This window comes from Homo sapiens, chromosome 6 (genome assembly GCF_000001405.40).
Source record: "Homo sapiens chromosome 6, GRCh38.p14 Primary Assembly".
NCBI lineage: Eukaryota > Metazoa > Chordata > Mammalia > Primates > Hominidae > Homo > Homo sapiens.
Genome location: NC_000006.12, coordinates 29,626,747 through 29,649,843, shown reverse-complemented (window position 1 = coordinate 29,649,843; position 23,097 = coordinate 29,626,747). Strand labels below are relative to the sequence as shown.

General features: G+C 47.7%; 1 protein-coding gene and 1 pseudogene across 12 annotated transcripts in view, besides 4 other annotated features; both read left to right on the top strand.

Moving 5' to 3' along the window:
• Positions 652-1,272: an enhancer, noted in NCBI's record as "NANOG-H3K4me1 hESC enhancer chr6:29616349-29616969 (GRCh37/hg19 assembly coordinates)". NCBI's record gives its function as "activates a minimal SCP1, AML or CMV promoter by ChIP-STARR-seq in primed H9 embryonic stem cells {active_cell/tissue: H9 hESC(primed)}" and the evidence as "EXISTENCE:reporter gene assay evidence [ECO:0000049][PMID:30033119]".
• Positions 6,929-7,428: an enhancer, noted in NCBI's record as "H3K4me1 hESC enhancer chr6:29610193-29610692 (GRCh37/hg19 assembly coordinates)". NCBI's record gives its function as "activates a minimal SCP1, AML or CMV promoter by ChIP-STARR-seq in naive H9 embryonic stem cells {active_cell/tissue: H9 hESC(naive)}" and the evidence as "EXISTENCE:reporter gene assay evidence [ECO:0000049][PMID:30033119]".
• Positions 13,376-14,390, top strand: SUMO2P1 (SUMO2 pseudogene 1; annotated as a pseudogene).
• GABBR1 (gamma-aminobutyric acid type B receptor subunit 1) overlaps positions 16,661-23,097 on the top strand; it is a 30,946-nt gene continuing 24,509 nt past the window's right edge. The window contains exons 1-6 of one of the 12 annotated variants that reach the window (NM_001319053.2): positions 16,661-16,994; positions 17,459-17,543; positions 18,245-18,448; positions 19,201-19,322; positions 20,737-20,757; positions 22,198-22,358. In NM_001319053.2, coding sequence (NP_001305982.1) covers positions 22,233-22,358 — 126 coding nt within the window. In that variant the 5' untranslated portion in view covers positions 16,661-16,994; positions 17,459-17,543; positions 18,245-18,448; ... (1 more) ...; positions 20,737-20,757; positions 22,198-22,232. The other 11 variants (NM_001470.4, XM_005248982.3, XM_011514455.2 and 8 more) reach the window with 11 other exon arrangements.
• Positions 18,351-18,852: an enhancer, noted in NCBI's record as "H3K4me1 hESC enhancer chr6:29598769-29599270 (GRCh37/hg19 assembly coordinates)". NCBI's record gives its function as "activates a minimal SCP1, AML or CMV promoter by ChIP-STARR-seq in primed H9 embryonic stem cells {active_cell/tissue: H9 hESC(primed)}" and the evidence as "EXISTENCE:reporter gene assay evidence [ECO:0000049][PMID:30033119]".
• Positions 20,264-21,069: an enhancer, noted in NCBI's record as "H3K27ac hESC enhancer chr6:29596552-29597357 (GRCh37/hg19 assembly coordinates)". NCBI's record gives its function as "activates a minimal SCP1, AML or CMV promoter by ChIP-STARR-seq in primed H9 embryonic stem cells {active_cell/tissue: H9 hESC(primed)}" and the evidence as "EXISTENCE:reporter gene assay evidence [ECO:0000049][PMID:30033119]".

Below are 23,097 nucleotides of genomic sequence, written 5' to 3'. Positions count from 1 at the left end.
TCACTACGTAGTCGCTCCGACGCCAGGAAAGTGCGGTGGTGGCCATTTTGGAACTGGGCAACTTTCACTTCGCCAATCATCTTGGGGTCTGGCCACCACAGTACTTTTTTTTCATTATTATTCTGGCAGAGAACACGTTATGGAGGGATAATTATGTAGCCTAGAATTTCTAGAGTTGTTTCAGGACTCATAATATCCTCATTCCAGAATATGAGAATATAGAAGCTTGGAATACTCAGATGCAAATTCCAGCACCACCCTTTCCTAATTGATTGAGGAACACATCTGACTCTAGTCTACGGTCCTGTGGAAAGACCTGTGACCCTAGGCAAAGAGCTTAAAGAAATCTCTCTTTTTTTTTTTTTTTTTTTTGAGACGGAGTTTTGCTCTTGTTGCCCAGGCTGGAGTGCAGTGGCGCGATCTCGGCTCACCGCAACCTCCACCTCCTGGATTCAAGTGATTCTCCTGCCTCAGCCTTCCGAGTAGCTGGGATTACAGGCTATGCGCCACTATGCCCGGCTAATTTTGTATTTTTAGTAGAGATGGGGTTTCTCCATGTTGGTCAGGCTGGTCTCGAACTCCGACTTCAGGTGATCCACCCGCCTCAGCCTCCCAAAGTGCTGGGATTACAGGCGTGAGCCACTGCACCTGGCCATGAAGAAATATCAATTTATTTAACTGCAAAATGATAATTCTGTCACCTCGTGGTGCTGATGTGAGGATTAAATGAGACAAGGTACATAAAGTGCTTAGGCCTGTGTCTGGCTCCCCCAAAAAACATAACACCTCTTGTGCAGCACCTGTGCTTAGAATGTTAGCCAGTGAGGGCAGGACTTCGTCTTATTTTCCCTGTGCCCTCCTGGGCATTGAATAGTGAGGGATACATATTAGAATAAGTTTGCTGAAAGAATGAATGACAAAGAATCCCTGCCTGTAGGTCTTCAGCCTTTGTATTCTATTATCTTTTAGGCTGTAGGCTCACCCTCAGGCATCTTCTTGCCACTCTAACCCCTATAGGCTGATAATTACACCTTTACTTGCTCTAGGTCACAGCAATCTGTTAACTACGAGATTAGTATTTTTATTAGTATTTTTGACTTTTTTTTTTTTTTGAGACATGGTTTCACTCTTAGAGTGCAGTGGCGTGATCTCAGCTCACTGCAACCTCCGCCTCCCAGGTTCAAGCGATTCTCCTGCCTCAGCCTCCTGAGTAGCTGGGATTTCAGGCGCCCGCCACCACCCTCGGCTAATTTTTGTATTTTTTTTTAAGTAGACGGGGTTTCGTCGTGTTAGCCAGGATGATCTCGATCTCCTGACCTCGTGATCCGCTCGCCTCGGCCTCCCAAAGTGCGGGGATTACAGGCGTGAGCCACCGCGCCCGGCCTAATTTTTGTATTTTTAGTAGAGACAGGGTTTCACTGTGTTGGCCAGGCTTGTCTCCAACTCCTGACCTCGTGATCTGCCTGCCCGCCTAGGCCTCCCAAAGTGCTGGGATCACAAGCGTGAGCCACCGCGCCCGGCAGATAATTTACTTATTATTTCATACACCACCTGATATATTTTCACAGTGAGCATATGGCCTTTAAAATAATGATTTTTTTGTTGTTTAAGTTACAAACAAACCTGAAAAAATATTTGCTTTTTAGAAATGCTCAGTTTCTGAAGGGACCTAAGTTTGCCTTGTAACTGGTACCATCTAATGGTCAAACTGAGCTATTGCGCTGAGGTTGGATACAGGAAGCTAAGGGAAGACAGGGATGTGGGAAGTTCAACAGGGGTATGCTATGGAATAGGGTGATAGAACTTTGTGGATGACATACCAACATCACTTGCTGAAGTTGTGTAGAGCTTATTCTTACTGAAACAGTAATCCAGAAATTAACTCATATCTAATGACTTGGTGGTATAGCATACCAACACTTTTATGCCAGCCACTGGAGAAAAAGTGTGTTCCTATAGCATTTTCACATTCTGAAAACATTTGTCTATGATTGTATTTATTTCTCACAATAGTATGTGAGTTAAAGATATCAAATAGTTTTATTCTTATTTTACAGTTGATGAAATTGAGGCCAGACGGGTTGTGACAGGCTCAAGGTCAGTCAGAAAACCATTGTCAGAGCAAGACCAGACTGGCATTCTTTTTCAGGTGTTTCTGCTGCAATTGGGGGCAGAGATATGCAGGCTTAACTTTTATAAATATAAAAGATGCTTTATTGGGAAACGTGAAGTAGTGGTTCTCTGAGTTTTTTGTACCATTTCTTAGCCTTTTTGTTTTATGCAATTTTTTATTTGCCCCAACCTGAACTCTATGTTTGGAGAGGTGATTTTCAGCAACAAAGCTAAATTTATGTATAATTTATTTCTTTTTCTTTTATTAATCAAACGTGTTTTAACTTGTAACTTTTCTTCTAAAGTCAGCATCATGTGTATACATATGCAAATAATTCCACTCCAAGGTAAGGAAACTTTAAGGATATTTTAATTAGTGCTCACAACAAATATGTGTATCTGTTCTGATTTTTAAATAATAAAGATGGAGCATGACTTTCTTCTTCTCTTTCTGTATTCCAGTTTTAAAATCATTGGCTGGGTGCAGTGGCTCATGCCTGTAATCCCAGCACTCTTGGAGGCCAAGGCAGGCGGATCACTTGAGGAAAGGAATTTGAGATCAGCCTGGCCAACATGGCAAAACCCTGTTTCTATCAAAAATACAAAAAAGTAGCTGGGCATGGTGGCATGCACCTGTAGTCCCAGGTACTTGGGAGGCTGAGATGGAAGGACTGTTTGAGGCTGGTTGACACAGTGAGACTCCCATCTCAAAAAGAAAAAAAAATCACCATACCACATTGTAGGAGCTATGAAGGCTGACATCATGCTTAGCTCATGTGTGTGATCCCAAACTGCCCTATTCCATAAATATTTATTGACTAAATGAGAAAAAAATCTTACAACCAGGTAAGATTTCTTTTCTTTTCTTTTCTTTTTGAGACCGAGTCTTGCTCTCTTGCCCAGGCTGGAGTGCAGTGGCGCGATCTCTGCTCACTGCAAGCTCCGCCTCCCAGGTTCACGCCATTCTCCTGCCTCAGCCTCCCGAGTAGCTGGCACCCGCCACCATGCCCGGTTAATTTTTTCTTGTATATTTTGTAGAGACAGGGTTTCACCATGTTAGCCAGGATGGTCTTGATCTCCTGACCTCATGATCAGTCTGCCTCAGCCTCCCAAAGTGCTGGGATTACAGGCGTGAGCACCGCGCCCAGCCATAGCCAGATAAGTTTCTTTTGCACACCTGTACTACTTTTAATGGTAGTTATGGCAGGTCATATTAAATAACAATAATATTTTCTGGGCCAGGCATGGTGGCTCACCCCTGTAATCCCAGTACTTTAGGCAGGAGGGTCATTTGAGGTCCAGAGTTCAAAACCAGCCTGGCCAACATGGCGAAACCCTGTCTCTACTTCAAATACAAAAATTAGCCAGGCATGGTGGTGCATGCCTGAAATCCTAGCTACTGGGGAGGCTGAGGCAAAAGAATTGCTTGAACCCTGGAGGCAGATATTGCAGTGAGCTGAGATTGCACCGCTGCACTCCAACCTGGGTGATTTTATATATATATATATATGTAAATATATATATTTAGTTTTCTTATGAGCCCCTTAAGAATAATATCAATACACAGGCAGAAAAAAAGCATTCCAAGATCTTTTTTTTCTTTTCTTTTTTATTTGAGATGGTGTCTCACTCTGTCACCCAGGCTGGAGAGCAATGGCGCAAACTCAGCTTACTGCAACCTCTGCCTCTCCGGTTCAAGTGATTCTCCTGCCTCAGCCTCCTGAGTAGCTGGGATTACAGGTGTCCACCACCACACCTGGCTAATTTTAGTATTTTTAATAGAGACAGGGTTTCACTATGTTGGTCAGGCTGTTCTCGAACTCCTGACCTCGTGATCTGCCCACCTTAGCCTCCCAAAGTGCTGGGATTACAGGTGTGAGCCACCGCGCCTAGCCTTTTTTCTTTTCTTCTTCTTCTTCTTCTTCTTTTTTTTTTTTTGATAGAGATGGGGTTTTGCCATGTTAGCTTCAAACTCCTGGGCTCAAGCAATCTGCCTGCCTCAGCCTCCCAAAGTATTGGGATTACAGGTGTCAGCCACTGAACCAGGCCTAAAACTTTATTTTCTAAAGTTGAAATAACTTCAGGATATAATTTAGAGATATCATGACTCCTTGGGGTCCAGAGAAGAAAATCACTCAGGAGTTAAAATTAAGAGAAGGGTCAGGCACAGTTGTGAGTGCTGTAGTCCCAACTACTCAGGAGGCTGAGCAGGAAGAATTGGTTGAGGCCGGGAGTTCAAGAGCAGCCTGGGCAATAGAGTGAGACCTGTCTTTTAAAAAAGTAAAAATAGGTCAGGCGCGGTGGCTCACACCTGTAATCCCAGCACTTTGGGAGGCCGAGGTGGGCGGATCATCTGAGGTCAGGAGCTCAAGACCAGCCTGGGCAACATGACAAAACCCCATCTCTATTAAAAATACAAAAAATTAGCCATGTGTGGTGGCACACGCCTGCATTCCCAGCTACTCAGAAGGCTGAGGCAGGAGAATCACTTGAACCCAGGTGGAAGTTGCAGTGAGCCGAGATCGCATCTGCATTCCCAGCTACTCAGAAGGCTGAGGCAGGAGACTCACTTGAATCCAGGAGGTGGAAGTTGCAGTGAGCCGAGATCGCACCATTGCACTCCAGCCTGGGCAACAAGAGTGAAACTCCACCAAAAAAAAAAAAAAAAAAAGTAAAAATAAAATCACAAGGAATGGTTGGAGGAGCCCAGCCCATTCTATTTGTACCTCTATTTTGAGCCATTTCATCCTCTTCCCTGACCAGTTCATCCATCATCCCTCCTCCCCATTAACCACCAGCTTACCTTGTACTCTTCAGTCTTAGAACCCACATTACCTTCAATCTTCTTTGTAAAATGTTGGTAAGAAGTTAACAAATTCAGGCCGGGGGTGGTGGCTTATGCTTGTAATCCCAGCACTTTGGGAGGCCGAGGTGGGAGGATCACTTGAGGTCAGGAGTTCAAGACCAGCCTGGCCAACATGGTGAAACCCCATCTCTACTAAAATTACAAAAATTAGCTGGGCGTGGTGGTGCATGCCTATAATCCCAACTACTCAGGTGGCAGAGGCACAAGAATTGCTTAAGCCCAGGAGGTGGAGATTGCAGTGAGCCAAGCTTGCACCACTGCACTCCAGCCTGGGTGACAGAGCAAGACTGTTAAAAAAAAAAAAAAAAGTTAACAAACTCAAATTCAAGAATGCTTTCTTAATACATTTCTCCTGTTATTTTCCATTTTTCCCATGGTGGAAAATAGAAAATAGGATGGCATCACTTGAGTTGGGCATAGGGAAAGAAATTTCAAACAGGGCATGAGTTCTAGGATTTAGAACAGCTAATGCAGGAGTAGAGTTAAAGAAGATACCCCACCTAGCCTAGCCTGCTAGCTGCTTGACAGTAACCAGGGATAACAGGGGAACAGTTAAGGTTCTTCAGATCATGGTCTCTTTCTTTTTCTTCTCCCCTCCCCCATCCTACTTATAATTATTCAGACAGAATGAAAGTTTGCTGCAGGCACAGGTGAAAATTTTCCACCCGTGTCCCTATTTCATAGCAGGATCTTAAGATAAGACCAAGGAGAATGATCTTTGGAAAAGTACTTTCTTAAGAGCAGCGAATGGCTGAACATAGTGGCTCATGCCTATAATCCCAGCACTTTGAGAGGTCAAGGCGTGTGAATCACCTGAGGTCAGGAGTTTGAGATTAGCCCGACCAACAAGGTGAATCCCCATCTCTACTAAAAACACAAAAATTAGCCAGGCGTGGTGGCAGGCATCTGTAGTCCCAGCTACTCGGGAGGCTGGGACAGGCCTGGGAGGCAGAGGTTGCAGTGAACTGAGATTGCGCCACTACACTCGCCTGGGCAATGGAGCAAGACTCCATCTAAAAAACAAAACAAAACAAACAAACAAACAAACAAACAAACAAAAAAGCAGCGAGAAGAGAGAGAAGAGAAGTAAGGCCCTCTTCCTGGTAACATCTTGCTCTACTCCTATTCCCGATGTGGGCCACCATTAGCGCTGCTATGTGGAGCAGAATTTGTGCATGCACCAGAGATTATACTTGCAATGCTATCAAAATGCTCATGGGTGGTGGGGGATGCACAGAGGTCTTGCCAGGTCTAATGCTGGTGAGGAAGCTTTAGTTTGCTAATGGTAAGGGCTACTGGGCAGTACAGTAAGGGTACTGAGCATAGTAGCATCATGGACAGCAAAATGGCAGCACCTACAAATAACGCAAGTAAGTAAAGTTATTGCTAAAAGAAAATATTCAGATAAACACTGGTAAGTCTTTTTGGAGAGTGATTCTGCCTATGGCTCAGCCAAGGCCCCCTGCTCTATGGCAGGGTGAATCTTCTGGATCTTCTACTAACAGAAATCTTACCCACATAGTGATAACCGCAGTGATTTAATCCTTAGCAGCATTGCTGATATGCACAGGACTCTCAGGGAGAGAGACCCCTGGGTGCCTTGAGGGTGCTTTCCACATCTTGTCATTGGGCTGAGCAGGGTCTTTGGAATCACTAATCTCATGTTGGCTTGTTACATGTGAGACACTGTGCAGATTATTAAACATGTTTGAGTTTCAGTTTTCCCATTTTGTAAATGGGAAGACTAATATCTATATCAGAGAATGCTATAAGGAGCAAGTGAGACAATCCAAGTAAAACACACAGCCCAAAACTGGTTATAGTAAAATAAATGCTATTATTATTATTATCCTGTAACTTATAGGGTGGAATGACTTAAATGTGTTTAGAATGTGTCACTATTATGGCCCATGGAACAAAGCAACCCATTTTACCAATACCTAGTAGGTCTTCAACAAACAACAGAGACCGCTAGATTAATAGACTTGGAAACTGGTGTGATCATTCTGTACAATGGAATGAAACTCATCTCTGAGTCAGAAAATATGTAGCTCTTTTAGTGGGATAAAATGAGCCACATAGTCAAAATCCCTGCCCTCCTGGAGTTTATGGTCTGGTCAGGAAGGCAAATGTAAATACACGATTCCACAGTTACCTTAATTACCACTGAGATAAGTTTTGTGGTTTTATTTTTATTTTGAGACAGAGTCTCTCTCTGTCACCCAGGCTGGAGTGCATTGGCATGATCGCAGCTTACTGACCTTGACTTCCTAGGCTAAATCGATCCTCCTGCCTCAGCCTCCCAAGTAGCTGGGACTACAGGCTCATGCCACCACACTCGGCTAATATTTTTAATTTTTGGTAGAGACAGGGTCTCCTCATGTTACCCAGACGGAGATAAGTTCCTTCCTTCCTTCCTCCCTCCCTTCCTTCCTCTCTCCCTTCCCCTTCCCCTTCCCTTCCCTTTAGCATGCACCACCACCCCCAGCTAATTTTTGTATTTTTAGTAGAGACGGGGTTTCACCATATTGGTCAGGCTGGTCTGGAACTCCTGACCTCAGCTATCTGCCTGCCTCGGCCTCCCAAAGTGCTGGGATTACAGGCATGAGCCACCACACCCACATGGATTTTGATTTTCTTTTCTTTTCTTTTTTTCTTTTCTTTCGTTTCTTCTTTTCTTTCTCTCTCTCTTTCTTTCTAAAAAACAAACAAACAAAACAATGACTACAGTATGCCATATATGAGAGTGGCTAGTGGGATTGGGGAAACAGTGTTCTAAGTCTGGGGAATTCAGGGGAGGCTTTACTGAGGAGGTGCCATTTAAGCTGTTAGCAACATGGGTGTGGGGTGAGGAGGCTGAACAGAGCACCACGCCCAGGCAGAGGGAGCTGGGTGTGTTTGGTTTCTGAGTTGAAAGTTAAGGAAGTTTAAAGAACAGCAGTCAGACGACCATGGCTGGAGCACTGTTAGTGAAGGGCAGAAGGACCTGAGACTTGACTTTGAGGCCAAGCTCTGGTATTTATTGGCTGTGTGATCTTATGAAGTTCATTCAAACTTTCTGAGCTTCAGTTTTCCTATCTGACAAATGGAGATATTATCATATAGAAACAACAGAAAGAATTAGAAGAGCTAATGTGAGAATTCTTTGTAAATTATGCACCAATAAGGTATTCAGTTTCTGCACAGATCTAGGTGTAACAAATACTGAAAGCATCTGAAGGTGTGTATGAGTCATGTCTGCTTTTTAGGTCTTCAGAGTGATGGCTTAGAAAGACAGGCAAGGAAGAGTAAACTCAGCAGGTGTTTGTTTACTCTCAATTGCTAAAAGCCAAGCTTGCTTCACATCTGTTCCAGGCTTTCCCTCCACTAGGACTCAGTGGTTCCCGTGGTTCTCTGGACTAGGGTAAGATTAATCTGACCTGCTGTAATAGGGTCATGGATGTGACATGGTCAGGTTTTCATACATAGCCTTTATGGAGATCCTTACTGGCATTTTAAAATTTATTTTATTTTATTTTATTTTATTTTGAGATGGAGTCTTGCTCTGTCGCCCAGGCTGGAACGCAGTGGTGTGATCTCGGCTCACTGCAACCTCTGCCTTCCAGGTTCAAGCAATTCTCCTTCCTCAGCCTCCCCCGTAGCTGGGATTACAGGCACCTGCCACCATGCCCAACTGATTTTTTGTATTTTTGGTAGAGACGGGGTTTTGTATTTTTGGTAGAGATGGGGTTTCGCCATGTTGCCCAGGCTGGTCTCGGACTCCAGTTCAAGCGACCCACCCGCCTCGGCCTCCCAAAGTGCTAGGATTATAGGTGTGAGCCACCACGCCCAGCCCTCTTACTGGCATTTTTATCATATTTCCATGAATAGAATTTCTAGTCTGTTGCTTCAGATTTGTTCATTTGACTTCTAAAACATCTATCTGTAAACATCTTCTCATGTTTATAAACAGTTTCACATATCCTTTTCTGCAATTCCAAAATTCACAATACTCTGAAAACCAAAATTTTGTAACTCATTTGGCGGCAAAGCCTGGCCTGACTTGCATTCATTCTGTGACAAAACGAGATGTGAAGCTATTTATAGTCTTTCTTTACCTCATCTAGTGTAAATAGCCATACATTTAACGTGAAAATATATTTTTGCTTATTATGGGCTTTAGACCTGCATACACATATTAAATGATAGATTTTTGAGTATTGTGTAGCTTCTAATAGAAAAATCTGGGTGATATATCCTTTTACTCTGAGTATTATTTCATTAGTGTGCTTCGAATAAGTGAGCAATCATTTTAGGTACTTGAACAGAATATGACGAGAGACAGAAATCTATTGCAGCAAAATGAACAAACAAATCCCCTAGCAACCAATTATATACACACATTATGATGCATACGTTTTTCAGATTAGTATGAATAATTATTTGTAGATATTCATACCAGTATATACTTAATTACACGTTTAATTAAATATAATACTTATTTTGAGATCTTCAAAATGCTCATTAAATTTGTGTTTATGAGAACTGAACCTTTTTTTTTTTTTTTTTGGAGACAGTTTTGCCTGTTGCCCAGGCTGGAGTGCAATGGCACAATCTCAGCTCACTGCAACCTCCAGCTCCTGGGTTCAAGCGATTCTCTTGCCTCAGCCTCCCGAGTAGGTGGGATTACAGGCATGCACCACCATGGCCGACTAATTTTGTATTTTTAGTAGATGGGTGGTTTCTCCATGTTGGTTAGGCTGGTCTCAAACTCCTGATCTCAGGTGATCCGCCCGCCTAGGCCTCCCAAAGTGCTGGGATTAAAGGCATGAGCCACGGCGCCCGGCAGGAGAACTGAACCTTTTCTAAGTCTTTTAACATGACCTCATTATCCTGTAGATGAACGGACAAAGAAGCTATTTTCCTTTTTGTTTCTTAGGTTAATCTAGCATTTAATTACATTGTGTTCATTCACTTATTATATAAAGGTGTACTTATTGAGAAATTATTTCTAGAGGCAACTTCACAATGTCAATGTTGTAATTTGGTTATTGGCTCTGTGCACTCCTGAGACAGGGGTAGGATCCCCACTGCCTCAGGGATTCTTGTGTGTGAGAGTGGTAAGTGCTAGTGCAGGTACTCATAGTGTGGCTTTTTAATTTCACTGAAGTTTTGTGACTCCCAAACTGGGCTCACCTGTACATGCCTGTAAAGACATGATAGAAATAGCTTCATGAGCTTACTTTTATTGGCACAATAAACCAAGGCCAGAACTGCCAAGAATGTACAACTGCTATGGTCTGAATGTTTGTGTTCCCCCAAAATTCATGTTCTGAAACCTAATCCCCAATGCAATGTGGTATTAAGTGGTGGGGACTTTTGCAAATGAGATTAGTGCCCTTCTAAAAGAGGCCCCAGGGAGCTTGTTTGCCCTTCCACCATGTGAAGACACAGCTAGATCGCAGATGGCAGATGGCAGTCTATGAGGAAGCCAGCCCTCACCAGACACTGAATCTGCCAGTGCCTTAATCTTGGATTTCCCGGCCTCCAGAACTGTCAGAAATACATTTCTGTTGTTCATAAGTTACCCGGTGCAAGAGATTTTGTTATGGCAGCCCAAACAGACGAAGACAGCAACCAAACTAGGATTGTGTGTGGGGAGCAATAGAGAGGGTTTATTAACGAAAGATGTTCCCTTACTCTCTCTCTTTTTTTTTTTTTTTTCCTGAGACGGAGTTTCACTTTGTCGCCCAGGCTGGAGTGCAGTGGCTCGATCTCTGATCACTGCAAGCTCCGCCTCCCAGGTCACGCCATTCTCCTGCCTCAGCCTCCCAAGTAGCTGGGATTACAGGCGCCCACCATCACGCCCAGCTAATTATTTTTTTTGTATTTTTAGTAGAGACGGTGTTTCACCGTGTTAGCCAGGATGGTCTTGATCTCATAACCTCGTGATCTGCCCGCCTTGGCTTCCCAAAGTGCTGGGATTACAGGCATGAGCCACCGTGCCCGGCCTACTCTCTTACTTCTTTCTGGCCCAGTGATTCTGAGTGCCTGTGCCTATCAAGACGGGAAGAAAGAGAACACACAAATGGAAACTGAGGGGAAGGATCAAACAGTTTCACAAAAATATCCTATTTTAGTGATATTAAATATGATGCAAAGGATTCAAAACCTCACTAAAAAGCCAGAGTGAATCCCAGAGTGTAAATAACTTCACGTTTGAATAATAAACCTTTGCCCTATACATTTTTCTAAAGAGCAAGAGCTGTTACAGGACAGAAAACTCTCCCAGAAGACAGGTCTTTCATCCTAACCCAAGAGGACATGAACATCTTCCATTCACCCAGTGATCACCACTACTTTAGATGAGAGAATAGAACTGCAGTTTGACCCTTGACAGAAAATGCCTTGGAGCCGGGTGTGGTGGCTCACACCTGTCATCCCAGCACTGTGGGAGGCCGAGGTGGGCGGATTACGAGGTCAGGAGATCGAGACCATCCTGGCTAACACAGTGAAACCCCGACTCTACTAAAAATACAAAAAAATTAGCCGGGCATGGTGGCGGGCGCCTGTAGTCCCAGCTACTCGGGAGGCTGAGGCAGGAGAATGGTGTGAACCCGGGAGGCGGAGGTTGCAGTGAGCCGAGATTGTGCCACTGCACTCCAGCCTGGGCAAAAGAACAAGACTCCGTCTCAATAAAAAAAAGAAAGAAAGAAAGAAAGAAAAAGACTTGGAGTGGGAGTTGGGTGAGAGAAGTGCCTCAAAACTAAGCCTCTCAATGCAGTAGAAAGAATTTGAAAATAGGGTAACGAACTTAAGTTCAAATGTTGGCTCTGTCAGCTTTATAGCTGTGTGACCTCTGATTTGCTTCTTACTTTCTTTAAATGGTAGTTTACTAGGCTCAGTATAGAACATGAATATCCACTCTGTGTGGTTAGGTGAGAATTTAATGAGATACTCCCAAAATGTACCTAGCATCTACCTGATCATCAATCAAGTGAACTACGTTGGTTAATATGTTTTCAGGGCTCCCAGAGTGTTAAATTCTGGGCTATATGCTCTCAGGGATGGATGGAAGATGAGGCAGAAGAGAGAAAAGGAAGTAGAAAGAAAGTATGGGAGGCCAGGCCCCGTGGCTCATGCCTGTAATCCCAGCACTTTGGGAGGCTGAGGCGGGCAGATCATGAGGTCAGGAGTTTGAGACCAGCCTGGCCAACATGGTGAAACCCCGTCTCTACTAAAAATACAAAAAATTAGCTGGGCGTGGTGGTGGGGCGCCGGTAATTCCCAGCTACTCAGGAGGCTGAGGCAAGAGAATTGCTTGAACCCAGGAGGCAGAGGTTGCAGTGAGCGAGATCGCGCCACTGCACTCCAGCCCGGGCGACAGTGTGAGACTGTCTCAAAAAATAAATAAATAAATAAAATAAAAATAAATAAATAAGAATAAAAAATAAAAATTATTAAAAAAAAAGAAAGTATGGGAACTAAAATGAATAAGATTTGTCATTTTCCAGTAATCTGAGTAGGAACTCCACTATCTCTATGAAAAACCGTCAAAAACTACAAAAGGAGATGGCATTGCCAAAGGCACAAATTGTACAGAAGTGAGAGAAGGATGGGATCAAGCCTGGGGATCCTTCCAGAGGAAAGAAGTTTTGTGCTTGATGTAAAAGGAAAAGAAGGAAGTAGATTGATTGTGGGGAGGATGAAATTAGGATACTCAAGTAGTGGTTCTGGAAGGACCTCTACAAATATCCTGAAAAATATGGCCAGGAATCCTGGCAGTGACATTGGAATATGAAAAGATGTGAAAGGGGGAAGTTGTAGCTACTGGTGGAAAAAGGTGAGTGGTTTGTATAATGAACATAATTGGAGCCCTTGTCTGTACCCTCAAATGCCTCTGCCTCCCAAACAAGTAACAGATTTTAGCTATACTGATGCAACTTGCTAGGAAGGTTTTCTTTAAACCTTTATAAATCAGTTAAAAATGATTTATAGAGGAGACACTTGTAAAACATTTGAATAAAAGTTGAACAACAAATATGACGAAAGAAAAGTGTGCAGGCCCCGCACAGTGGCTTATGCCTGTAATCCCAGCACTTTGGGAGGCTGAGGCAGGTGGATCACCTGAGGTCAGGAGTTCGAGACCAGCCTGACCAATATTGTGAAACCCTGTCTCTACTAAAAATACAAAATTTAGCCAGCCATGGTGGTGTGCACCTGTAGTCTCAGCTACTCGGGAGGCTGAGACAGGAGAATCGCTTGAATCCGGGAGGCGGAAGTCGCCGTCAGTCGAGATCACGCCATTGCACTCCAGCCTGGGTGACAAGAGTGAAACTCCGTCCCCCCACCAAAAAAAAGAAAGAAAAAAAAAGAAAAGTGAGGGTGGAGGGAGGGAGAGCACGACGTGCGCGCACCCTCTCCCCTTGTCCACTGCTGCCGCCTCCTTCTTCTGCCGCTCCTGGTGCTGCTTGTGTGCTCGTTTGGAGCGGACCTGGTACCTCTTTTGTGAAGCGGCAGCTGAGGAGACTCCGGCGCTCGCCATGGCCGAAGAAAAGCCCAAGGAAGGAGTCAAGACTGAGAACAACGATCATATTAATTTGAAGGTGGCGGGGCAGGATGGTTCTGTGGTGCAGTTTAAGATTAAGAGGCATACACCACTTAGTAAACTAATGAAAGCCTATTGTGAACGACAGGGATTGTCAATGAGGCAGATCAGATTCCGATTCGACGGGCAACCAATGAAACAGACACACCTGCACAGTTGGAAATGGAGGATGAAGATACAATTGATGTGTTCCAACAGCAGACGGGAGGTGTCTACTGAAAAGGGAACCTGCTTCTTTACTCCAGAACTCTGTTCTTTAAAGACCAAGATTACATTCTCAATTAGAAAACTGCAATTTGCTTCCACCACATCCTGACTACTACCGTATAGTTTTCTCTATTCTTTCATTTCCCCCTTCCCCATTCCTTTACTGTACATAAAGTAACTGGTATATGTGCACAAGCATATTACTTTTTTTTTTTAAAACTAAACAGCCAATGGTATGTTTTGATTGACATCAAGTGGAGACGGGGCGGAAAAATACTGATTCTGTGAAAATACCCCCTTTCTCCATTAGTGGCATGCTCATTCAGCTCTTATCTTTATATTCCAGTAAGTTATTTTGCTCTCACTGTTTTAACAACAACAACAAAAAAACAACAACATAAAAATCCTTGCATACCTTGTTCAATTGGAGAATTTTAATGTTTTTCATTTATCATTGTAAAACCAAGGACAATTTTATAACTTTTTTGTACTTAGCTGTTACATGCAGAGCAATCTGTCTTTAAGTAGGGATAAATTACTCTAAAACAAAAAAGAATCCTAGATAGTTTTCCCTTCAAGTCAAGCGTCTTGTTGTTTAAATAAACTTCTTGTTTAAAAAAAAAAAAAGTAAAAAAGAAAAGTTATGCAACAATTAATGGCCCAGAGGCAATCCTTGTTAACATTTTGATGCATCTTTTAGCTGTTTTTTTTTGTTTTTTTTTTTTGACTGAGTTTGACTCTTGTCACCCAGGCTGAAGTGCAATGGCATGGCATGATCTTGGCTCACTGCAACCTCCGCCTCCCGGGTTCAAGTGATTCTCCTGCCTCAGCCTCCTGAGTAGCTAGGATTACGGGCATGCACCACCATGCCTGGCTAATTTTGTATTTTTAGTAGAGTTGGGGCTTCTCCACGCTGGTCAGGCTGGTCTCGAACTCCCAACCTCAGGTGATAAGGGAAGGGGCACTATTGACATTTATGGTTGGGGCAGAGGTGTAAGATATTCTTCAAAGCACTACCTACATGTTGAAGAATTGTTCCTCACCCAGATTCTCAAAAGTCCCCCAGGACATTCACGTAGTGAAAACCTGTGTTTAATTATCTGAGCCTATAACTTAATACAGTTTTAAAATTTTTTTTTAAATATACAGTGAACTTTCTAGGAATGCAATTATAGTTGTGTGTAAAATTAGGGAAAATTAACTTTGCTACCAAGAGTTGTTCAACATTTTGTTAAATCACTTCATTGATGGCAACATGCTGGAGGTAGTTGAGTCACCAACTCAGCACCTGGATCAGCCTGTGTTGGTAGCAGTTTCATCCCCGTGGTTCTGTGAATAGGTGGAAGCATCTGCTTACTCCATCAGGACTTCTAGGGTAGTCGGGCCTTGGCACTCACACATTAAAATACTGTTTATGTTATTTTATTGCAAGTTACTTTTCTTTCATTTCCCCTTTACGTTACAGAAAGGGAAGCATTTTGCTTTCTGTTTAAAGTTGTGTATGTAGGTAGGTTATATCATCTATGACTTTCTCTCCCTCCTTCCCTTTCTTTTTGTTTGAGATGGAGTCTTGCTCTGTCACCCAGGCTGGAGTGCAGTGGTGCGATCTTGGCTCACTGCAACCTCTGCCTCCCGGGTTCAAGCGATTCTGGTGTCTCAGCTGGGATTACAGGCGCACACCATCACACCACGCTAATTTTTCTATTTTTAGTAGAGATGGGGTTTCGCCATGCTGGCCAGGCCAGGCTGGTCTCAAACTCCTGAGCTCAAGTGATCAGTCCGCCTCGGCCTCCCAAAGTTCTGGGATTTCAGGCGTGAGCCTCATCTATGAATCTCAATTTAGGACAGTAAAAGTGTCATTACAAAATATTTATTGTAAAAAAGGGTTGGAGGTTGAGAATCTCAATTCTAGTCAGTCTCTCAGTGTTTGGTTTCTTCCTACCATTTTTCCCCCTAGGACCAGCCAGAAAGCAGCTTTTTTTTTGTCCCCCCCAACAAGGAGCCCACTGTTTCCTCTCCCAGCCCAAACTCAGGCCTACGAACAACAACAGCACAACACACACACACACACACACACACACACACACACACACACACACACACACCCCTCCACTTCAAGGTATAGCCAAGAGCTTCTGGAGCCGTCAAAAAGGTCTGTACCTGCTGTCTTTAGAGCTTCCAGTTTGCCCTTGGTCAAGAAATACTGTTTGCTAGGCTCTGCTGGAGTACATCAGGTAATACTGGCTTCTAAACCACCCTGAGGTTCTTTTCTCTTGTCCTTTTACTCCCTTCGTACTTCAATTTCTCTCCTTGATGTCCCCCTCCCTGTTTTGTTTTTTGCCTCCAATCCGTTCTGCGCGTTCCCTGCAGAGCAGGCGAGTAGCAATGCTGCTGGACCATGGAGCTGCTCTAGTCTCCCAGAAATCTCTTCTACACCCAACCCTTCTTGCGCTTAGGTGGTCCTCAGTCCCCCTCCCCCACCTCCTTCTGACCCAGGCTTCTTTCTCGCCCTCCGGTCGCAGTTCTCCTGGGCATCTGCCTCTGCCTCTCTCCTCTCACCCGGATCTAGGGCTGCCTTCTCTTTGTGCAGCCGTCTTTCTCCACCTTCATCCCAGACTCCCTGTCTCAGCGCCAGCTCCTCTGCCTTTGGCTCGGGTTCCCTCTCCCCCACCCCAGCTTCCAGTTGTTTGGCCCGCAGGTCCCTCGGCAGTGACCGGCGCCCCCCGACGAGTGCGTGTGCACCAGGGCACCTCCCTCTCCCCCACCTCTCAGCCCCGCGCCTCTCCACCGCCCGCCCCACCGCGCTGTGGGCGGTCCAGGGCGGGGCTGGGATCCGGGGCGGCTCCCGGGGCTCGGGTTGTGGGAGGCGCCCTCTCCCCGGTCTTCCCCTCTCTTCCCCCCGCCCTGCCTTCCCTTGCACCCTCCTTCTTCCCTCCGCCCGGGAGCTCTCCCTGGTCCCCGGCGCCGCCTCCTTCCCTCCCGGCTCCCCGCTCCCCGCTCCCGTGGCTGCCGCCGCCCCGGGGAAGAAGAGACAGGGGTGGGGTTTGGGGGAAGCGAGAGAGGAGGGGAGAGACCCTGGCCAGGCTGGAGCCTGGATTCGAGGGGAGGAGGGACGGGAGGAGGAGAAAGGTGGAGGAGAAGGGAGGGGGGAGCGGGGAGGAGCGGCCGGGCCTGGGGCCTTGAGGCCCGGGGAGAGCCGGGGAGCCGGGCCCGCGCGCCGAGGTAAGAGCCAGGGCCCCGGGTTAGCAGGGCTCGGAGAGGGGGCGCGCGGCGTGGTGGGGGAGGGGGCAGTGGGCGCAGGGCCCAGCTGGGGGAAGCGGGGCTGGGGGAGAGGAGGAACCGCGGGGATGGAATCGGGGAGCGCTGAGGCGGCCGATGCCGGGAGCGTGGGTAAGCCAGGCTTCTGCGAGCCGCGGGGGCCGGGGGAGAGGAGGTGGTGAGAGGTGGAGTCCCGGGAGGGTTGGGGGCCGAGGGAGGCAGGAGGAGGGTGGGGACAGGCTTTCTCTCCTCCTCTCCCCCCACCCCGCGCGGGGCTCCGCCCCCGCCTCCTCCGCGGGGCGCTCTCTTGGTCCCCAGGCTGAGCCCGGTCGGAGCCTGCGAGGCAACCGGCAAGAGGTCGAGTAGTCTCCGGGTGCGGGCCGCGCCGGCGGGGCTCGGTCCAGTCCTCATGGCCGCCTCTCACTTAGATGTTGCTGCTGCTGCTACTGGCGCCACTCTTCCTCCGCCCCCCGGGCGCGGGCGGGGCGCAGACCCCCAACGCCACCTCAGAAGGTGCATCCTTCTTCGACGACCTCCGGCCCTCCTTCGCTCCACTTCCCTTTCCCTGCATCTCCTCATTTCTGGTCCTCATCACTATCCCATCAGTCCCACATATCATCCCGGTCTGGCAACCCCTTCTGCTCGGCCCGACTTTACTACTGCTGACCTCCTTCTGTCACCCCACGTTACTATCCAGCACCTCTTTTCTCTGCCCACATTGCTACACTATACCACCTTCCTGTGCATTTTCTCCGCCTCAATCCCCTTTCCCAGCCCCACATTACTACCTCAATTACTCCCTTTTCTTGGTCCCACTTTGCTGTCCAGATGATCTTATTAGCCTCCCTTTATCCTCCTATCCTAATTCAACTCGAATATCCTCATTTAGCCTTTTTTTTTAAAGAAAAGCTCCACCCACATATCATACCCTTCATGATTTCTTAATTACTTTTCTTTCTTACCTCCACCCAGCACCCTTCCCTCCCCACTTGTGGGTTCTCTCATCAGCTTTAACCCTGGCCCTTTACTCTCTGTCCTTTAGCCAGGGGATCTGTACCTGTCCCCACTCCCACCCTCTAGTGCCCCATCCCTCTTCCTCTGTCCCCAGCCTGCCCACAGACCACGCCCTACTCTCCCCTTCCTCCCACTGGGGAGCCTGCCTTTTCCTCTTTCCCACCATTCCTCTCTGTATGCCTCCCCGACTCACCCCTTAGGTTGCCAGATCATACACCCGCCCTGGGAAGGGGGCATCAGGTACCGGGGCCTGACTCGGGACCAGGTGAAGGCTATCAACTTCCTGCCAGTGGACTATGAGATTGAGTATGTGTGCCGGGGGGAGCGCGAGGTGGTGGGGCCCAAGGTCCGCAAGTGCCTGGCCAACGGCTCCTGGACAGATATGGACACACCCAGCCGCTGTGGTGAGTAGCCTCGGAAGCCCCTCCCCTCTTCAAGACTATTCCTTTTCCTGCCGCAAACTTAGCATTACTGCTTGCAAGTCAGCACTTTAAATCCAGTATACCAAAATTCACAAATACATTTATTGAATGACTACTACATAAGAGCAATTTTGCTCTGTGCGGTTGGAGGTAGTAGAGCTAGCAGCCTGCACAGTTCATTTCATCCTCCCTTCATTAGGCCACTGATCATTGGCCTATAACATTGATAATTCATCTTGTCAGTTATTCTCTTTGAGGATCATTAGTGGCAGATGATGACAAAAAAATTCTAAAATGATTTCATCACATTTTTGAATACCTCTGTCACCAACCCAGAGACCATATGCCCAAGAAACAAAAGCCAGTTTAATATTAATAGAAGCCAACTATAATAAGAAAAGCAAATCTGATTGTGCATCCAAAGTTATATACATCTACATATTTCAAAGCCAGAGAACCGCCCACTGTAGCTGACTTTGAAGAGATCCCATTTTGTGTGCTTATAGCCCCATCTTGGGTTCCTAAAATGGTAATTTTTTTTTTCTTTTGGGAATGTGTGGATGCTTGCACAGGTAAGGGAGGATTGGAAGATAGGTAGGCAAATCCTTTTCACATGTGATTTTCTTTAGAGCAGGATGCTTGTGGACCCAAACCTGCACCTGAGTCCCCTGCTCTTTAAAGGGAAAGAGCCTTCTTCAACTCGCCTCTCTTCTTATTTTCCTATCTCTCCACAGTCCGAATCTGCTCCAAGTCTTATTTGACCCTGGAAAATGGGAAGGTTTTCCTGACGGGTGGGGACCTCCCAGCTCTGGACGGAGCCCGGGTGGATTTCCGGTGTGACCCCGACTTCCATCTGGTGGGCAGCTCCCGGAGCATCTGTAGTCAGGGCCAGTGGAGCACCCCCAAGCCCCACTGCCAGGGTGAGGGGAACAGCTGCCTGCATGCAGCTGATGAGGACGCTTGTGTGAGGATGGGAGTGGGGTGGGAATGGATAATGGGAAAGAATGGAGAGCTATAAAAATGTGGGGGAGGACACTGGAAAGGGGAGATGAAAGTCCCTTTTTCCTCCATCACCTGCCTCAAACTTCCTCTTGCAGTCCCCGGTATCCTCTGTAGGTTGGGGGCTTCCTTCCTTTACCTTTTAAAAAAATCTTCCTGCTCCCGATTCTTAGACCTCACGTTTTCTCTTTTCCTTTATGAATCTCACCTCTCTCACCTTCTTCAGGTTTAAATACTCCAATTTTCCCTTTCTCTAAACTTAGAAATTTCCATGCATCACCCTCTTCTAGAATTCATCCCTCACCATTCCTTATATAATTGATTTATTGTAAAGACTCAGAAATAAATCAAACATTCTACTAAGAAAAATTGAGAAGGGGAGCTCTGGGGGTGGAAACATATTAGGGTAAAAGACTTAAAATTGGAGGCAGCATTATCAGAAGATGAAGAACAACTCAGGGATGGGGTGGGAAGAAGACAGGTCCTTTTCTGTACTTCCTAGACAACCTCCATTATTCCCTAAGGGAATCAGTGTTGTGTCTGTCTACTTTTTTTTTTTTTTTTTTGCCACGTAATTTTACAAACTCTCCCTTTTCTAGGCACCCGAACTCTCTGCCATCTTCTCTCCTGGGATGCAGTCATCCCATTTGTATGCCTCATACTTCCTCTACCCTGGTAGATTCTTTCAAGATCCTTGGGCTTTACTTTCCTCACATAACTCAGTTATTCTGCTTCTAGTTTACCATTTTATTCTGGAAATTGAGAGTCCCATCCAGGGGTGGACTTATGACACTACTGAAACTTAGACTTCAAGGTTCCTCACCTACAGGGCCCTCTTCCTGTGCTCTAATAATATAGAGGGCTCGATGGATATGTGTTCATATGGTAACAGGCTTTTGTAAAAATTGCAGAAATAAGATTTTAACAGCAATTGCTTAAAGCCAATTGTATGTGTAATTTTTTTTCTTAAAGACTCCCAATTTTGTAATATTCAGGCACCACAGAACCAAGATCTGCCCCAAACTTAGCTATTGGCATTCCCGTCTCAAATTCTGTTGTCCTATGAAAAATCGAAGAAGAAAATAAGTCCTGACCCCCTTACCCCCAGACCCACCTTGTTCTTATCCCCAGGCACCCTCCCCTCAGAAACGCAGGCTTCTGCTCTCCCCGGTCTTCAGCATGGACAGGTGTGGGAGGGGGCTGGGGATCAGGCCAGGGAAGCTGGGCGCCAGTGGTAACTCTTCTCTGATCCCCGTCTTTCCTGCTGCCAGTGAATCGAACGCCACACTCAGGTGAGATGAGAAACCCTTACCGCGCGCACTGCAATGCCCTCCCCTTCACTCTGCACCCTCCACCCCCCTGAAATTCTGCCCTTAGGCTACGGGGCGTCGTCCTTTCGCACCTTCCCCAACCCACCCCAGTTTGCGGCCACCCCCTTCCCTCCCTACCTGTTTCCTGCCTCCAGTCCCGGTTTTCCACGAGGCTGCGGTCTCTCCTTGTCCCTGCTTGGCTACACTTCCCTGGGCTCCACCTCCTCCCAGACTGAGCCTCGCCGGTGTCAGGCAGAGCCCAGCAGAGGGCGGCAGGGTGCTGGGAGACCCTGAGCTCCCACCACGTTTTCCCCTGTGGGGTTCCTTGCGACCTTCGCTGGAACCTTTTCCAGCCTGCTGCCTCCTAGGATTTCACCTAATGGACTTTCTCAGCCTGTCCCACCCATCCCAACCCTGGCCAGGCCTCTCGCGCTCTTCCCCACATCTTTTCCTTCCGTGTACCCCTTCCCTCGTCTTTTCTCAATTCCATGTCCTGTCTCCCTTTCTTAGGCTTCTGTCTACCCAGCCCCAGGCTCCCTTCCACGACCCCACCACTCCCTCAAACCAGCCTCCCTTCCGTACCCAACTCGTTCCCTCCAAAACCGTTTCCTCTCCCCCACATCCTCAGTGCTTCACTGTATCGACTCATACTCCCACTTCAGACCTCAGGCGCCAGCCCCGTTTCTCTCCCGTCCCACTCGCATCCTTCCCTTCCTACCCTGGTTCCTCCGTGCTTCAGCCTCCCGCGGCTCCCTCCGCCCACCCCGCCCTCCTGGCACGCCCCGTCCCCATTTCTCCTCCCCTCGGGTCCCCTTAAGTGAGATCCCTCCCTTCCTCTTTCGTTCCTTTCCTCCTCGAGGTTGCATCCCCCCTCCCCTCCCCGCCCCTCCGACTGTCGCTCCCACCTCGGCGCTCGCTTCCCTCCCCGCCCCCTTCCTGCCTCCCCAGCTCCCGCCCGCCCCCCCACCCCCCGCTGCCGCGCGCCGCCCGTGACGTCAGAGCCCCCTCCCAGCCCCACATCTCCCTCCTGCTCCTCCTCCTCCCCTCCGTCGGTCAGTCAGTCCGCGAGGAGAGTCCGCGGTGGCGGCGACGGTGGCGAGAGCCGCGGGGGCCGTAGGAAGCCAACCTTCCCTGCTTCTCCGGGGCCCTCGCCCCCTCCTCCCCACAAAATCAGGGATGGAGGCGCCTCCCCGGCACCCTCTTAGCAGCCCTCCCCAGGAAAAGTGTCCCCCCTGAGCTCCTAACGCTCCCCAACAGCTACCCCTGCCCCCCACGCCATGGGGCCCGGGGCCCCTTTTGCCCGGGTGGGGTGGCCACTGCCGCTTCTGGTTGTGATGGCGGCAGGGGTGGCTCCGGTGTGGGCCTCCCACTCCCCCCATCTCCCGCGGCCTCACTCGCGGGTCCCCCCGCACCCCTCCTCAGAACGGCGCGCAGTGTACATCGGGGCACTGTTTCCCATGAGCGGGGGCTGGCCAGGGGGCCAGGCCTGCCAGCCCGCGGTGGAGATGGCGCTGGAGGACGTGAATAGCCGCAGGGACATCCTGCCGGACTATGAGCTCAAGCTCATCCACCACGACAGCAAGGTAGCCCTGGACATGGGGGTGGGTGGGAGGTGGGGGCTTGCGGGGCAGGGGGCCAGCCAGCTGCACGCGCCCCCATCTGTCTGAGTCGTCTCTGGGATTGCGAGGCAGACCCCTCCCTTGTGTGACTGGCAGGAGATGGGCTGGGGGTGCAGGAGCTTGGGGAGAGTCGCAGGGGCTGGAGGTCCAAGATGAGGGTCTAGGGGCTCAAGATGGTTAAGCATGCTGCAAGGCAGACCCTTCTGCCCCGCTGCGGGAGTCTCGCAGAAGTGTCGGGGTTTGGAGAAACTGGTGGTGGATTTAAGGTATTAGGAGACACTGATCCTCTGAGGGAGTAAACTAACCCTGGAATGGGTTGGGGGTGGAGGGAATGTCAGAGGTGGGGAGCTGGATTGGGGGTTTACATTTACCATGGTAACAAGGTAAAATCTTGGCGTAGGTTGGAGCTGGAAGGAATAGGGACAGAATGAGGAAAATTTTGAGAGACTTGAGAGCTCTAGTTTATTTATCTTAACAAAACAGCAAGGTAGTGGTGAGCCCTACCTGACTCCTTCTCATCCTTCTATTCCCAACCCTGTTGAGCATTCCCAGACTGTGGGATAGATGGCATATGGTGATTGGGGAAGGCTAATGATCAAGAGGTGGGCAGAGGCACTGGGAAAATGAATTGGATTGGGGATCCACATGGGAACCCCCACAATAGCATGGGGATGAAGAAGAGTCAACATACAAGGAGAAGAGA